Source organism: Homo sapiens, chromosome X (genome assembly GCF_000001405.40).
Source record: "Homo sapiens chromosome X, GRCh38.p14 Primary Assembly".
NCBI lineage: Eukaryota > Metazoa > Chordata > Mammalia > Primates > Hominidae > Homo > Homo sapiens.
In genome coordinates this window covers 6,993,725-7,011,831 of record NC_000023.11, presented here as the reverse complement: position 1 = coordinate 7,011,831, position 18,107 = coordinate 6,993,725, and the positions used below count along the sequence as shown (strand labels likewise).

The 18,107-nt window shown below is 38.6% G+C and overlaps 1 protein-coding gene across 2 annotated transcripts in view; it reads left to right on the top strand.

The window, feature by feature from the left end:
- The window catches only part of PUDP (pseudouridine 5'-phosphatase), a 442,316-nt gene that overhangs the window by 136,322 nt on the left and 287,887 nt on the right, over positions 1 to 18,107 (top strand). The window lies entirely within an intron of this gene.

The window sequence follows — 18,107 nt, the reverse complement described above, 5'->3', positions numbered from 1 at the left end:
CCTACTCAGTTTCTTTTGAAATTGTGTTTAGTTCTCAAGCCCTTGAAGGATCCAAGAAATTGCTCTAGAGGAGGTTAAAGTGAACATGCTCTGACGAGGAAAGCCATGGATAGAAACCAAGGTGGAAGAGCAATGTATAAATGCTACCGGGCAGTTGCAGGGGTGCTGCCTGCTCCCCACACCTTTTCTTCCCCAGGCATTTTCATGTCTTCATGCTGATAGAAAGTCCCCTGGTAATGGCATGAGCATGGTGATGTGCATAAGTAGATGGCTTGTGACTGGAGGAAAGAATGGCAAAGGAGCTATGCTTTCATGAGGGAAGGAAGGAGGGAGGGAGAGAGGGAGGGAGCGAGGGAGGGAAGAAAGGAGGAGAGAAGGCAGGAAATGACAGAGTCAGCATACAGTACACTGTTGGGTATTTTCCACTACCAGACACAGTGTACAAATGCTGTTCGTCATCCTGCACCCTCTGTTACTATCTTAAATCTCTAAACGAAATCCAGAACCAAGTGGGCTACTTCCTAACTGATACCCATGATTTCATGGAGAGAAGATTCTGTTGTTTTGCAAGCAACAAAACTGGAGGGAAGTAACGATATTGGAAGATAGCTAGGCAGTTCATCTCACTATCATGAGGACGTCCCCATTGTCTGCAATTGGCCTTGTCTCTCATGGGTTCTTACAAACAAGAGGGAGAAATGTACTCAATATCTCTACAATTTGGTTAATTAATAATCATGGTAGCAATCAAATCCAAAGGGCACATTTGCCCCAATCATTACCAACCCGAGATGTTTCTAATGAAGAGCCTTTAGAACCTGGGTTGAAAGTAGTAATTGATAGTTGAATGGCCAAGGCTTGGCACTGGTTTTGTTGAAGACATTTAATCAGGTCCGACTCCAGGTTCTCTGTCATAACAGTGCTCACCCTCTTGGATTGTGCTGTGCTGTATTGAATAAAGGAAAGGGTCAGAGTGAGAAACTGTCATCCTGTACCCATGAGGGGATGCCAGGAAGGCCGGGCTGGGCACATTACTGAGGACAGTGGGCTTCAGTCTTGGTTGCATGTTCAATGAGCCTGGGGAGATTCCAAACATCCTGATGTCCAGATCTCACCCCATAGCATTACACCAGAATCGTGGTGGGTGGGATTCAGCATGGGTATCTTTTATAGTTCCCCAGGCAGTTCTGGTGGGTGGCTAAGTTTGAGAAACACTGCTGCAAGGACTTTACTCTGCTCTTTGTCTCTATGGGCATCTTTTGGATGAAGATTTATGGACATTGAATCACATGAGTCAAAAATTGTGTCTCCCATAAGAGGCTCTGCACATCTGCTGACAGACCAGTGTATCAAGTTTAAGACTTTTAAAGGGGCTGTTCATAACAATCTGCCCTTGGATTCAGAACTCTTGGTACAGCATCCGCAGTGGTGCAGCATCCACAGTGGTGCAGTGTCCATAGTGAATGTGTAACATGGTGTGTGGCCAAGATGGTAGAGAGTCTTGGAAATCAAGCCCTGTGAAGAATGGATGAAGATGCAGAGAGTGTTGGGCTCTAGGGACAGAAGATTTGGGTAGAATGACTGTTCCAGGACATTGAAGTGATGCTTCATGAAACAGGGATGGATTAGCCTTCTCCTACACTAGATGTGAGCAATTTGAGGTGTTTTCTGATTGCTCTAAAAGTGCCAATGGGTCCTCACCAGATATGTATTAAGTGACTATTCCAGGAAAGATTGCTGGGACGAATTGTGGCTGTGACAGTGTATTGACTTGCATGAATGTTTACCCAGCCTTTTTGGTAGACACTGGGGAGGGAGGAAAGCAAAGACAAAATTCAATATGACTTTTTTCATTATTCCAAACATTGGAACCTTCATTCAATGACATATTAAAATTTGACCTTGGGACATCCAAGGACACAATTCTTCTAGCTTGAATTCTGCACCTCTAGAATGTTTTCTTTTTTATTTAGATATAGTTTTCTTTCGTTTTTTTGTTATACTTTAAGTTCTAGGGTACATGTGCACAACATGCAGGTTTGTTACATATGTATACATGTGCCATGTTGGTGTGCTGCACCCATTAACTCGTCATAGATACTGTGTTCACTATTTACCCCAAATAAATTTCAAAGGACATGCAGCTCTCTCATATCTAGCTCCACTCCAAAAGTAGGTAACATCACCATACCAATGATGCTGCTAATAATAATAATTAAAAAAAAACCCAGTGCATTCTATGCTTACATTGGTCCTTCATCATAAAGTTCCTTGCTAGATTGATTTGTATTCCTCAGAATCTGTTTTATGCAATCTTTCCATTCTTTCTGTATGGCCGAAGAATTAATTGGTCTTTTTTGAACACTGTTAAAATAACACCACCTTCGTTGTACCTCAGATTAACTAGTAGATGATGCATGTTTTCTTCAAACTACCTTAGCTTTTCTTTTGAATCAAAAACACTTTTTACCCTCCGAAGTATCTGCCTACCCTTCACTTCACTGCTTCCCTACTTTCCTAAAATCCTTAAAATTGTCTCATGTCCCTCATTACTTATGATCATAACACTGTATTCCTTTGATTCATAGGAAGAATATACCAACTAAAGAAAGTTCTCTAGAAGGCAACTTCGGAGACAATTTGATGCCCAACATTTACATAACATAAATATTTTCATTTCTATCTGTAGTAGATATTTGTTGGCCATTCCAAGTGTTTTCTTTGACATTGCATTTTTCTAAAGATGTTTATTTCATATGTGATAGAGATTATATTTTTCTTAATTAGGTCAGAAATGACTTTATAAAAATCTTTGTTTTATTACTTTAAGTACTCCTATTTCAGTGTCTACTTCTATCTCAACAATTCCATGAAACCACACATTAGAAAATGTAAATAGTTAAGTAGTAAATTTTATTTTTGCTTAACTGGTGTTTGACTACATTGTAAACCTCCCAACAAGCATTCAAGTAGTTTTAGTCCTTCTAAATTTTTTAAACTTACTGCTCCAAATGCTATTTTCAATGTTTCATGACCACAATGTCAGATTATTTGGACAAAAACCTTCAAACGCAGGACTTTTCCTTAGGCAGAATGTATTTCTTGATTGTTGTCTTAAGGCATGGGTTTGGTTTATTTCATTTTAAAGCATGGGTTATGGTAAAGAGAAAATGCCATTTGAATGATGTCTATGTCTATGTCCCCATTAGTTACTCTGGGCACAGAATTAGCAAGAAACACCCTTATAAGTAAAGCAGTTAGGGAAGCATTTTCCTACTTCCAGAGAAAAATCAGAGATTGAAAAATATTTCTTTGAATGCCAGTGACCTGGGCTATAGAGAAAGAATGTGCCCTGCCATAGCCACCCACCCTGGTGTTGACCACCGAAGAGCACCACCTGTTCCTGGGCGTTTATGTGTTGTGCAAAGATCATGCAAATATTAGTTGAACTAAATTTAAGTTGTGCCAACACTAAGGCAGTATCAGCTAAAATAAACACCTGGCTTAGAGGTGATTCACCGACCTTGGGATTATATGGAAAAGAGAGCGCATTAAAAAAAATTTTTTTGGCCAGGTGCAGTGGTTCATGCCTGTAATCTCAGCACTTTGGGAGGCCGAGGAGGGCGGATCACGAGGTCAGGAGATTGAGACCATCCTGGCTAACATGGTGAAACCCCGTCTCTACTAAAAATACAAAAAAATTAGCTGCGCGTGGTGGTGGGTGCCTGTAGTCCCAGCTACTCCAGAGGCTGAGACAGGAGAATGGTGTGAACCCAGGAAGTGGAGCTTGCAGTGAGCCAAGATCACGCCACTGCACTCCAGCCTGGGCAACAGAGCAAGACTCCATCTCAAAAAAGAAAAAAAAAATTTTATTATTATCCATAATAAAGCCCTTGTGTACCTATTAGACTTTGGAATTTATATAGTTTTCTTGGGGTTTCAAAGAATAAGATAATCGTTAATGAATGATGAAAATCCCCACAATCCTTTTACATTAGGCAGCAGCATGATGACCTTCATTTAATAGAGGACAGAGATTAAAGGACTAATCCTGAAGTCTGTCTGTGCCATCAGTCGTGGAGCTGGCAGCAGGACTTGGACTTCTGTGCCTGTTTTGGTGCCAAATGATTTGCCTGCAAGGGAAATATGAGGAATGATTTAAGCTAAGCCCCCACTTGCAGTGCTCATATGGCTGGATCTGGTGAAATTATCAGGGGAGAGGTAGCAAAGTGGCATCTTCAGAGATGCCTCATTGCTCAATATAACTGAGTAGACAAAGGGAGTTCACTGAGCTATATTGTCCCAACACACCACTTGTGTCATGCACTCTGTGTGTGTGTCAGACACTGCTGGTGTTTTACTTATATTGCATCATTTAACCCTAACTGTGATAACTGGGGGAAACCAGCTCAAGTTCCACATAGAACTGATATTTACAGGGTTTTTGAATAAACATAGAAATTGACCCATCTGGTCTTAAAACTTGAAACTTAACATTTGTCAGTCATCTGAGTTAGGAAACGGACCTTCAGGCAAGAGACTGAAACTCACCACATCACCATCAGACAATGAGACACCAGACTCCTCATTTATCATGATTGCTTCCTTACCCCTCCTTAATTGCTGTTTTCCCTGCAGGTAGCTACCTCCCTTCCCAGCTATATAAACCCTCCAATTTTAGTCAGCTGGAGAGATGAATTTAAGACTGATCTCCCACCTCCTTGGCTGCAGCACCCAAATAAAGCATTCTTCCCTGGCAATGCTCATTGTCTCAGTGGTTGGCTTTCTGTGCAGTGAGCAGTGGGACCTAGACCCAACCACTGGCATTTCAGTAGCATGGGGAAACCAAGGCATGTTGTTATCTCACAGAGCCAGGATTTGAACCTCAGATTCTGGACCTAGTGTCTTCTTGCCTGGCCACTGTGCCATTATCTATTTTTCTGCTTACTTGCTCCTTGAAAGTGATTCTGCATGTTAGAATCACCTTTTTCCAGTGGAAAGTCTCCCTTTCCACCTGTTCTTGTGTCAGTCTCATGTATAGCCTGCTGTCATCAGGCTGAAATTCTTTAGCAGAGAGCAGTCACACCATGTTCTTGCTCCTGGACCCTTTGTGGCTTCTGATGAAATTCACATTGAATTTTGGAAAAGGCACTCAACCTCAGCCATGATTGAAACCAAACTCACATTCTAATACCTCATACAACTTCTCGTGAAATCAATGGCCCAGCATTAGTGAAACATCACTGGTATTCAAAGATTGCCTTCTCTACCTAAACAGCAGCAAAAAAAAATCAACCCAATTTAAAAAAATAGGCAGAGGACCTGAATAAACATTTCTCCAAAGAAGATTTACAAGTAGCCAGCAAGCATATAAAATATTGATCAATATCACTAATCATTAAGGAAATGAAAATGTAAACCACAATGAAATTATACCTTATGCCAATTTAAATGGCTACTATCAAACACAAAGCAAAAACCCCGGAAAATAATGTGTTAATGAGACTGTGGAAAAATTGGAACCCTTTTGCACTATTCATAAGAATTAAAATGGTGCAGCCACTATGAAAAACATTATGGTGGTTCCTCAGAAAACTAAAACTAGAGGTACTGTATGACTTGGCCATTCCACTCCTGTGTATAAACCCAAAATAATTGAAAGCAGAGACCCAAACAGATATTGGTACCTCAACGTTTATGGCAGCACTATTTACAATAGCCAAAAAGTGAAGGCAACCCAAGTGTCCATGGATAGATTAATGGATAAACAAAATGTGGTCTATCCATACAATGAAATATTATTCAGCCTTCAAAAGGAAAAAAATTTTCACATATGTTACAATATGGATGAACCTTGAGGACATTATGCTAAGTGAAATAAGCCAGTCACAAAAAGATACACAGTGTATGATCTCATTTATATAAGTCCCTAGAGCAGTCAAAATCATAGAGACACTGAAATAGTGGTTACCCGGGGTGGGGAGGAGGAAGAATGAGGAGTTAGTGTTCATGGATATGAATTTTCCCTGTTGCAAGATGAAAAATACTCTGAAGATGGGTGGCGCTGATGGTTGTACAATGCAAATGTATTTCTGAACTGTGCACTTAAAAATTTTTAAGATGCGGTCAGGTGCAGTGGCTCATACCTGTAGTCCCAGCACTTTGGGGCTAAGGCAGGAAGATCATTTGAGTTCAGGAGTTCGAGACCAGCCTGGGCAACATAGGAAGATCTCGTCACTCCCAAAAATATAAAAATTAGTTGGGCGTGGTGGTTCATGCTTGTGGTCCCAGCTACTCAGGAGGCTGAGGTACGAGGATTGCTTGAGCCCAGGAGGTGGAGGCTACAGTGAGCCATGATTGAGCTACTGCACTCCAGCCTGGGCAACAGAGCCAGACCCTGTCTCCAAAATAATAATAATAATAATAATAATATGGCAAATTTTGATGTGTATTTTATAATACCACCATTAAAAAGTTAAAACTGCTCACCCTTGCCTCACTCCTGTACCTCTGCTCACTTTCATTCTTCCTGCTTCCATATCCTTGCTTTTAAATTATACCAACTTTTAAAGGTCTAGTTCAATATGACCTCCTCCATGAAACAGCCCTTCTTGGAAACTGTGGAATGGAACTCTACCTTCTCTGAATGGCCATCAGTTTACTTAGGTTTTGATAGCCCTTGACTCACAAGTCTATACTTAGCGCTGCTCCAGGCAGGTCACACCACCACCCCTAGTGGCCCCCACAAGACTGTGAGTTCCCTAGGGGTAGAAGTCATATTTCCCTCCTCTCTTCATCTGCCGACTGACTTATACGTACATAATAAGCATTCGAGTCGAATAATTTGATAGTTATTTTCCTTTTTGTCAGAACTTTAGGGAAGATACTGGAATTGTCTCCTGTGCTTCTAAGGCTTTGCATTCTTTCATCATTGGACTATATATGGTTTCTCATATAGCAATTTACATTTTGCAGAAAGACCTCAAACTGGCCTAAAGCTCTTTGAATGAATCCAGATAAGCTGCTTCCTAAAGAAAGAACCTCCTGACTTCCTAATACTCCTTTCATACCCTAATCTTTAAACAGTGTTTCTAGCAATAATTCCATTTTCCACATATGTAGCAGAAGATCTGAGTATCATCTAAATATAAAATCACTATTTTTCAAATTTTATTAGGTTTCTGCTTAATGGAGAATTATCGCTGTCAGTACATCAGATCTAAACATATGGTCATTTAAAGGAATAAAAGGCAAACCTTTCATTATGATCTTTATGTTGTGGTACATTGTATATGTTTGTATGGAAAATTTCGGGAAATGAGCAAAGTGTTTGGGTTGGATCAACTATTTCATATCAGTCTTTGTAAGCCACGTTATTGTTAAGAAGTCAGTCAGAACCACCCTTTTTGGTAATTTTACCTGGCTCATACTTGGCAGATCTGGCTGTGAGCAGGGTTTAAAGTTGGCTTACTATATGGAATTATTTTTAGGACACCTTCAATGCACTCTACACTGAGCTAAAACAAAAAAAAATGAGGCTTAGCTCCTGACTCTGGACAATCTAAATCTACATTTGCTACATCCAAAGCAAATAATTTCTGTTTATTTATTTATTATTACATAAGATGTTCATTCTTATTATAAAAAGCATGAAACCGGCAGGAGCAGTGGCTCACACCTGTAATCCCTGCACTTTGGGAAGCCAAGGCGGGTGGATCACTTGAGTCCAGGAGTTCAAAACCAGCCTCAACAACATGGTAAAACCCCATCTCTACAAAAAATACAAAAATTAAGCGTGCGTGGTGGTGTGTGCCTGTAGTCCCAGCTACTCAGGAGAGCAAGGTGAGAGGACTGCTTGAGCCTGGAGGCACAGGTTGCAATGAGCTGAGATTGTGCCACTGCACTCCAGCCTAGGCAACAGAGTGAGACCCTATCTCAAAAAATAAAAATAAAACCATGGAACCAATAGGACATCATTAAAAAAATGTCACCAGTAATTTGCCCATCTGGAGGTCATCACTATCAAAATTGTGGATATTTTTGAAATTTTACTGAAGTTTTCAGCCTCCCCATAAATACTCTCTTTCCCAACCACAACGCTGTCCCCCTTTCAAAAAACTCAGCAGGTATGTGCTCATTGCCTGGGGCAGAGATGTACAAAAGAATGGCATGAAGAGAAAAAAATTCCTTCCTTTTCTTTTTCAAAAGTCTAAAAGCAGCAGGAACCTGGACTGCTAATGGCATAAAAAGTATATTTTAGATCAAGGGACATGAAAATAGGGTGGAAAAATTAAAAGGATTTTTTGATCAAATAGGCACATATATTGTCTTCTAGCTTTTTATGGTTTCCCTTTAAGTGTTGTTTTATACTAACTATTGAATACTTGCAAAAATGATCAGGGAATCAGGACTCACAATACATTGGCCACCGCACCCAACACCTTGAGTCACAGAATGTCATCAGCACATCTACAGCCCCGGTGTGCCGCCTCCTGAATTCCATCCTACTCACTCTACTGCCCACCATAAATGATCTCCCCAATTTTTTTGGTATCATTCTCTGGCTTTTCTTTATAGTTTTACCCTCTATGAAAACAATATAGAGTCAGAATGTTGACCAAGCATACAACTTTATTATCCTCTCCGACCACCCATTTCAAACACTTGGAGAGATCGTCACACTCAAAAAACTAAACTATCCTCCAGCCACTTTTGGTCATAAAACTGTTTCGTCTCAGGAATTGGAATATCCAGTCCCACATAATAGCCAATACTTCAAAACTGGCTTGACATTACGTCTTCTACGTATTTTCAGTTTCAGTTCAGTCCTCCCTACCTGAATATGTGGACAGAGAGGTCCCTCTGTGTCCCTAGGTAGCTTGCAGAGGGCAGAGGTTGCCTCCTTTTTCTCGGTGCTTTCCGGGGCTCCTTGGTGGGTTTCAGCTGAGCCCCTTCACAGGGGATGAGGGAGAGTGTCTGTATTCCACTGGGTGCGTATAGTTCTGTCCTGTTCCCAGAATGTCCGGGAACTCAAAGGAATTCCACTCCGGCTTCCCTCTGATGAGTTCCATCTAATTTAGGAAATGTGGATTGATCCCATTATGCAGCCCCTCCTGGCGCTGCCTCTCTTCTGCACACTACACTCCCCAGGTGAGTCAGAACCTAGTCCACAATCCAATTTAACTTTCCCAGAAATAGGTCAGACACCCCTTCTCCATGTCTTCCAACTGCAAGGATCATTTCAAAGCATTGTGAGGATCTCCTTGAAGCTCACCCATTAGGCAAGGGACCAGTAATAACCCACTCTCCCCTCCAAAAGGTTGGGTTACTCACAGCATGGCAACAGATTTCTCCAAAGAAATCTCCTCACCAGTATCACATTTGATCTAGTTTTAATATTCTCAAAGTCGGTGAAAACATTTGCCAGTCTTGAAGCAAGTTTTAGAGTCCTCCAGTACATTGTCAGCATTTCCCATTGAAAACCCACCATATGCAATTTTGCCTCCACATTTACCTTGGTAGCTGATATGGGCACCTCAGCTGATATTTCTAGATTTTTAAGTTTCTGCCAATCTGATGAGTATAAAACAATATCTATGTCTCATTTTCCTGATTATTAATGAGATTGAACATCTTTCCATATGATTTTGTGTTTCCTCTTTTACAAAGTCTTCATTCAGGTATTTTCTTTATTTTTTTCTGTTGGGTGGTTTATCTTTTTTATATTGATTTCTAGACGTTTTAAATGTAGTCTAGAGACTGAGCCATGGTGACTTACGTGTTGCAAATATCATCTTTTATTTATGGCTTAATTTTTTCTCTTTATGGCATTTTTTGACAAACTGAAGTTTGTTGAATATAGTCAAGTTTGTGTCTCTTTTTATTTATGGCTATTGATTATTATTTTATTTGATTTAAGAAGTGCTTTCCTATCCATAGGACATGAGATTGTCCCCTAAATTGTCTTGTGAAGTGTTAAGCATTTGACTTTGGCATTTAAATTTTTCAATCATCTGGATTTTATTTTTGTGTAGAGTGTGAGATGTAGTTTGAGCTCTCCTTTTTTCCGTATGTATAAATAACCCCTTGTCCTAGTACCATTTATTTTGTATTTTCCCACACATCAGAAAATCTCTTTCCGTTATACATGAAAATTCAAGGGACTTAAGTCTGTTTCTCTGATCTCGATTCTTTTCACTGGTCAATGCGTCTGTTCATGACCCAAATGGCTCTTTATCTTTTGAATTGTCTAGTATGTCTGTTCCAGTCCTAATTCTACATGGGTTTAACCACCAAAATTTTATATTAATTCTGAATAGAATAAGTTTTTCCATCTTCTTCTTTTTCTCAGAAGTATCTTGGTTATTTATGGCTCTTTGTTCTTTCATATATATTTTAGAATCAAATTTTCCCTAAAAATCTTCTTGGCATTTGACTGAAATTAAATCTATCTACAGATTGAATAGAGGAGTAGTGACTTCTTGAAAATGTTGTGTCTTCCTATTCAAGATTATGCTATAACTTGTCACTTATTTTTACTTTGTTATTTTTCAGTATTTCTATAATTTTTCAATAAAGTGTTTTTGAACAAATTTTATTCTATTCAGTACTAATTCTTTATATTTTGTGGCTTTCATGAAAGCTATTTTCTAAAAAATATATGTTCTAATTTTTGCCAGTATTAAGATATACAAGTGATATGAATATTTATGTTGTATCCAGCAATCATCAAAAACCCTCATTAATTCTAATAATGTATCTAAATATTCTTTGAGGTTTGAGGGTTTTTTTAGGTAGACAATGAATAAGCAAGCAATGATAACAGCTTTTTTCTTTGTAATATTTATATACTTTATTGTTTTCTTATTTTATTGAGCTAGAATTTTCCCCCAAGATGAAGCTTGATACAATTATTTAATATTATATTATATGTAATATAATATAATCTCACTAACAATGTTAAATAGGAAAACTTTTACCTTTTCACAATTAAATATGATGTTTCAATTATGTTTCTTAAACTAGGTATTATTTATCAGAGTAAGGGAGTTACTTTCTATTCCTAATTGCTAAGAATCTGTAAAAAAAATCAGGAATAAATAGTGACCTTATCAAATGCTTTTTCTTCATCTGTTAAAATGATCATTATAGGTTTTTCTGTGGTGATTAATGAGTTGGTCTTTGTAATTTTTTTTCTATTTTATTTATATTTGTTTCTATTTATATATTTTTTATTTATATTTTATAAATGTATTTGTTTCTATTCATATTTGTTCCTATATTTAATAAAAATGTCTTTCCTTGGATAATTTGATTACTAAAGTTAACTAGTCTCATAAAATGAATTGGGGTAAATTTCTTATTTTTTCACTCCTTGGAGGAGTTACATTGGTTTGGTATTATTTGTGGATTGTTTGTGAGAATTAACATATTAAACCAACTGGGCCTAGATTTTTCTTTGGTGGAAAGATTTTTAAACCACTGACTCAGTTTATGTTTGTTTGTTCGTTTGTTTTTTTAGTTTATCTGTTTCTTCTTGAGTCAGTTATATTTTTCTAGGATTTTGAACATTTAAGTTTAAGTTTGTTGGTGTAGAGCTGTCAAGGCTATCATTTTTATCTCTATAGTATTTACATTTGTGGGTTTTACAAATTCCAGTAGTGTGTGTTTGTTTCTCTCTCTCTCTCTCTCTTTTCCTCTCTCTCTTGCTCTCGCTCTCTTTTTATCTCGCTTCTATTCAGTCTTGCTAGACGTTTTTCAGTCTTAGTACTTTGTTCTTTCTACTTTACAGAGGTTTAATCCGTTGTTCCTTCCCTAGCTCCCTTTGGTGGATACACAATGTCTTGATTCCTGCCCTATTTTCACCTCGAATCTCTACATTCAAGGCTTTAAATTTCCCACTAGGTACTGCCCTAATGGTATTCTCTTTTTTAAAAAATATTTAATACTATTATTGTTTACACATATTTTCAGTTTCCATTACAGTTTCTTTTTTGACCGTTGAGGGTTTTTTTTTTAATTTTTAAATTATTATTATTATTTTTTATTTTCATAGGCTATTGGAGAACAGGTGGTGTTTGGTTACACAAGTAAGCTCCTTAGTGGTGCTTTGTGAGATTTTGGTGTACCCATCACCCCAGCAGTATATACTGCACCCTATTTGAAGTGCAGCCCCTTGAGTTTTTAAAATGTGTGTTTTAAAATTTCACTTAAAATAGTCATCTCTGCTTTCTTGATTTCTAACCTAGTGCATATGGGAAAAAATGTGACGTCTATACACCAACCTGATGAAATTTATTGAAAACCTGCTTTATGAACTAATAAGTGGTCAATTTTCATTACTATTTTATGTACCTCATTGTATTGAAAGAATGTATTTTTTCTTCTCAGGCTGCAATGTTGTGATACTAACTTGAGGTGTTTCTTCTTCTTATATTTCCTATTTTTAAATTTCCACCATGTAGGGAATCTATTAAATCGCTGAGCAATGTTCAAAAATTCAAACTTTTTTTATAGAGTGTTTCATATGTGCTTACGTATGGCTATATAGGTGGCGTTAAAGACATAGTGATGAAAGTGACCAACACAGTCGCCCTGCTCCCATGGACTTATCTTAGTGTTTAGAGGGGAAAGAGAAGTACTCACATGGTGGTCTAGTTATTGCTGTGTGAAATGTTACAAAGCACAGTGTATGATGAGGGAGGTTACCTGAGATCAGGTACTATGGCGATTGCATGGCGCTTATCACTCCCTGTACCCAGAAGTCTGGACACAGACATAGAGAAAAGTCACCCAGCTATATGGATCATCAAAAAAAGTTCAAATACAGAGCGTGTCCCTCTACCGTGCTTAGTCTTTGATCCTCATTCCCCACCCTTTCCCCACCAGTTCCCAGCCTCTTTTCCCTCCTCTCCCTTTCTCCTACTTATTCATCTGTCTGCATTTTGGTTCTTTGCCGTAGTAGTCATCTTTCTCTGAAAACATATTGTTGGGCACTCAGGACAAAACTCCACAGCTCTGTGGGTGATCTGTTCATCAGAGACTATAATACCACTCACACTGAATAAATTCATTTTTCCAACCCCAAAGTTACATGGTTAATCAAATTTTATTCTTAATTGTGAATTTGCATAAATATCAAAGATACTTTTTAGTAATTAGCATGTGCTCTCGATTATTCTAATGAAAACCATCACTCAAAGTGAGGTACAAATTGAGGTTACTTTCATTATGCTCAACACTACATTTATACTGCAATTGTTGGAAGTTATATGAGGTTGTTTTTTGTGAGGTTTTTTTTTTCGGCTGGAGAAAGACTAAAGTCTCATATTGCCCTGACAGTCAATTGCCCTGATTATTTTTCTTGTGTAGCCCCTCATCCCTGTCTCCCCTACTCGGTACTTGTGTAGCTGGTATATTTGAACAAGAGTAGTACTTTGCTGCTATCAGTCTTCATCTTGTTAGCTTCAGTCCATTGATCTAGTCCAGCAAGTCTCCTTTGAAGCTTGTTTCTTCATTTCTCTTTTCCATTCCTGGTTTCTTTTGGTCTCAATTGTGTCATACAAGGCATTATTATCTCGTCATCCCAGCTTCCCCAAATTGGCAGCTCTGATTCCCACACCATCCTTTTACTCATCCAAATCATTAGCTAAAATGGCCAACAGGAGACAGCCAGAGAGGGACCCTGAGAAACACCCCTCCAGGTGGACATCCATCTCTTAATCCTCAGTGTCAATACTTGTAAGCTGATCTTAATTGTATCCTCACCAGGTCCACAAGACTATGATGAAAAAGCTTGTCAATTATTTTAGCTCCAAAGGAGATACAATCCTTCTAGTCTACTACATTTCTTGTACTTATCAGTCCAGTGAAATGAGTTTAGTCTGGCATGACTTACTCAAAATGAGCCCATTCTGACTCAACATGACCTCCACTTTCTGACTTAAGTACTCACCAATGATCCTTAAAATAATCCATTTTCAAAGTATCCTCAGGGATGACATTAAGCTCATGTTTTCTCAAAGCTAAATTGCTTTCTCAGCAATCTCACGTAACTTCTAATCCCCAAACTCAGCGTCCTCTCTCAACTCCCTCTGCCTGACTTCTCTGTGGCACGCATTTGACACTGCCCAACACCCCATCTTCTTGCTCTCACATTTGTGCAATTCATGTTCTTCTAATCTTTGAAAAATCAGAACATTTGTTCATTTTAATTTTCAGTTTTCTAGATGGAAATCTGCACTATTTTATAAATGATTTCTCAACATTATCAATGATAAGTCCAGAAAAATTGTAAGCTTTTCACAAATTTAAGAAGCAGCTTATTCAGGCTGGAAAATATTTCTTTCACAACTTGATTCTCTTGTAACTTCCTCATAGTTTTAGGATTTTAATGTTCTTCTATATTTTAACTTCACAATCACCTCTCTGCAGGCTATTCTGAAAGAGAAGAAGCAGGAAAATAAAAGTCCAGGAGATATTCTGTCTTGCTGTAGAAGAACTAGTAAATGGTTTTTACCATTATGTAGGTGATGGAACACCTAGAATTTGCAGTACTCCCTATAGGACACCTTGATATTCTGAAGGACTATGATTATTGATAGCTATTTTCATTTTATGATTAATATGGCTAGCCAAAGCTAGCATATATGACAAGTATTCTATAGAATATATAGAATTATAGTTACAAACAAATACACAACCCAGCCCTGCCCTCAAAACAAGTTGTTAAACTTATCCCATTGTGGGATTTTCTGCTAATAATTGTTGCATTTTGTTTATTTATTTATTTTTTTTCAGTTAGTACTTCCAAACCAGCAAAGGCAGAGGATGTCAAACCATTAAGTAAAAGAATTATGGGAGGGGCCTTGTGCGGTGGCTCATGCCTGTAATCCCAGCAGTTTAGGAGGTTAAGGCGGGTGGATCACTTGAGGTCAAGAGTTCAAGACCAGCCTGGCCAACAAGGTGAAACCCTGTCTCTACTAAAAATACAAAAAATTAGCTGGGTGTGGTGGTGAGTACCTGTAATCCCACCTACTTGGGAGGCTGAGGCAGGAGAATCACTTGAACCCAGGAGGTTTGAGGTTGCAGTGAGCCGAGATCACCCCATGGCACTCCACTCCAGCCTGGGCAGCAAGAGTGAAACTGCATCTCAAAAAAAAAAAAAATGTATATATATATACACACACACATATATATATACACACACATATATATATATACATATGTATGTATAAAAATGTATATATATACATATATATGTGTATATATATATGAGGAAAAAATGGAAATTGAAACTATTTTTTTATTCCAATGAATTTGGGTAGGTTGTGAAAAGACCACAGCCATTCCATAATTTTAGAAGCAAGGACCCAAAGAGATCTTGGTAGTGCACAGGGGACCTGACAAGCTATGTGTTGGAAGTTGGAATGATTCCCACACATGCCCAAATTCTCAGACAAGCAGTTACCTGAGCACAGTAGTTCCCACCTATTGTTCTACCCTTTGATTAATGGCCTTTTGGGAGGAAAAACTCAGTGAAATCCACTATTTGTTTCTCATGCTCCTCTCTCCATATTGCACAAAATAACTAAAAACAGTGTCAGCTTTACCTAAAGAAACACAAATGTGTGCAAAAGGGGAGCTGTGAAGTGCCCCAGGGCAGAGGAGAGGTAGTTAGATGCCTTTGGACGGGGAAAATGTTTTATATCCCAAGTTCATTACAGTGTATGTATTTGCCCATATGGATTAGCACCTAAGCCCTCAAATAACTAAGCAGCAGTGTATACCTTTACACAGGAGTATTGTATTGGGAATCAGGAATGACTGTTAGTAGCTTGGCTTTGTGGGAAAGAAAAAAAGAGAACATCAAAAGATGGAAAAGACAGTGGTAGCTAGAAAGAACCAATAAGAACTGTTAACTCTCTGGCCCTGAGGAAGAAAGGGCTTGAGAATAATCTTCAGAGAAGGACCTGTGAGCGCCTCTCATATTTGGCTGATGCTATAAGACCCAAGATGAGGTTTTTCTCCTTGTTCTTCTAGCTATAATATTAACTCAAAGCCCCTTTTGATGCCTTTCATATTTTTATTTTTATTTTTTATTGTTTTTGTGACACAGTCTTGTTCTGTCACCCAGGCTGGAGTGCACTGGCATGATCTCAGCTCACTGCAACCTCCACCTCCCAGACTCAAGTGATTCTCCCACCTCAGCCTCCCAGGTAGCTGGAACTACAGGCATGCACCACCACAACTGGCTAATTTTTGTATAATTTTTAGAGACGGGGTTTTGCCATGTTGCCCAGGCTGGTCTCGAACTCCTGGACTCAAGCAATCTTCATGTCTTGGTCTCTGAAAGTGCTGAAATTACAGGTGTGAGCCACCATGCCCAGCCTCCTTTCATATTTTTAGATCCCTTACCTCATTCTGGGATTAAGACTTCCTGATACTTTTTCTACACTTTTCTGCAAAGGCTTTCGATATTTTGGTTGACTGTGCACTCTACCTTTCCTATTTGGTGCATGTACTTGTCATACCTAGGTTCATTTACAGGGTTTTTTTGTGGTCATGATAATTTCTGTTGAAATGTCAGCCTTCTTGTATTCATTAGGATGATTTGCCATTGTACTGTCTAGTTTTCAGTTTTGAGAATTGCATGTCCATTCTCTGTTCTTGTTCCACATGTAAATAAATGACTTCTTTATTATTTTGAGCTTTAAAAAAAAAAGAAAGCCATGCCTCTTTGAAACTGAGATTCCTCATAATATTCTCATAAGTCTATGCAAAGATTTCAGATTCCTTCACAGTTTTGTGCCCTTCCTGTCATTTCTTGTCACATCTTCTTTTTTTCCATATTTTGACTTTTTTCCTATAGTACTTTCCCTTCTTTTTATGAGAGTACCAATTATACATACCTTGGATCCCCTATGCCATTATTTTGTCATCTCTTAGCACTTTTCCCCCCATCAGTTCTCTGTTATGACATGACATAGCTCACAGTTAGGAAGGAGTTTCTCTGCCTCAAAAGAAACTCCATTATGTTTTTTCGATAGGGTGAAAAAATTAACTCTTTTCTGCTCAGTAAACCAGCCTTGCCAAGCAGCTGCCGTTTGTCATATCTCTTCTGTCACACCATGTTTGTAGCCTACATCTCACTATGTCTGAAAGTTTCCATGATCATTCCTGCTTTCCCTCATTCTTTTCTGCATTCTTACTTTGAATCCCCACTTTGTCTTTTCAAGCAAAGTTTTGCCTTAGGGGTTTTGCCACCAATTCTGGAGAACATATCAGAGGTGTTCTCCCTGTCTTAGTACCTCCCCTTCACACTGTTCAACTTTTATTTGGCTTGACAGTCTTTCTTCATAGATTGTGCTTTAGTATTTCTATGGTTCTTCACCTCATCAAAGACAGACTTTTATTTTATTTTATTTTGGAACAGGATCTTGCTTTGTCACCCAGGCTGGAATGCAGTAGTGCAATCATATAGCCTCCAACACCTGGGTTTAAGCAATCCTCCCACCTCAGCCTCCCAAGTAGCTGCGACTACAGATGCATGCCACTATGCCCAGCTATTTTTTCTGTTTTATGAGGAGACAGGGTCTCACAGTGTTGCCCAGGCTGGTGTCAAGCACCTGGCCTCAAGTGGTCCTCCCACCTCAGCCTCCCAAAGCGCTGAGTTTATTGACATGGGCCACTGTGCCTGGCCTAATTTTTTCCTTTTCTTCATTGTTTTCCATTGCTTTGGTCTGGAAACAGGAGATATCTGTAACAAAGCTCATCAATATGAAGACATTATTTTTGTAGGTTTATTTCTGATGGACTCAATAGCAGTTAAAATTCTGAAATGTAAAAGAAATCTAATATTCCAATTTGTTCTGTCTTAATTGTCATACAATTTCATATGGATTTTGTATTGGCTTTCAATATTCTCCCTTAGATCCACGTGCCCTACTGGACATCCCACTCCATGAAGATTGATTCCTCTAGCACATGTGGGGTGAGCTCAGTCCAATTGACTCAGTAAGAGAAATGGTGTTATGCTCTGCTCCTTTGATACAAAAATGTGGTAGTCCTTGGAGTGGAAGCAGCAACATAAATTTGAACATATTTAT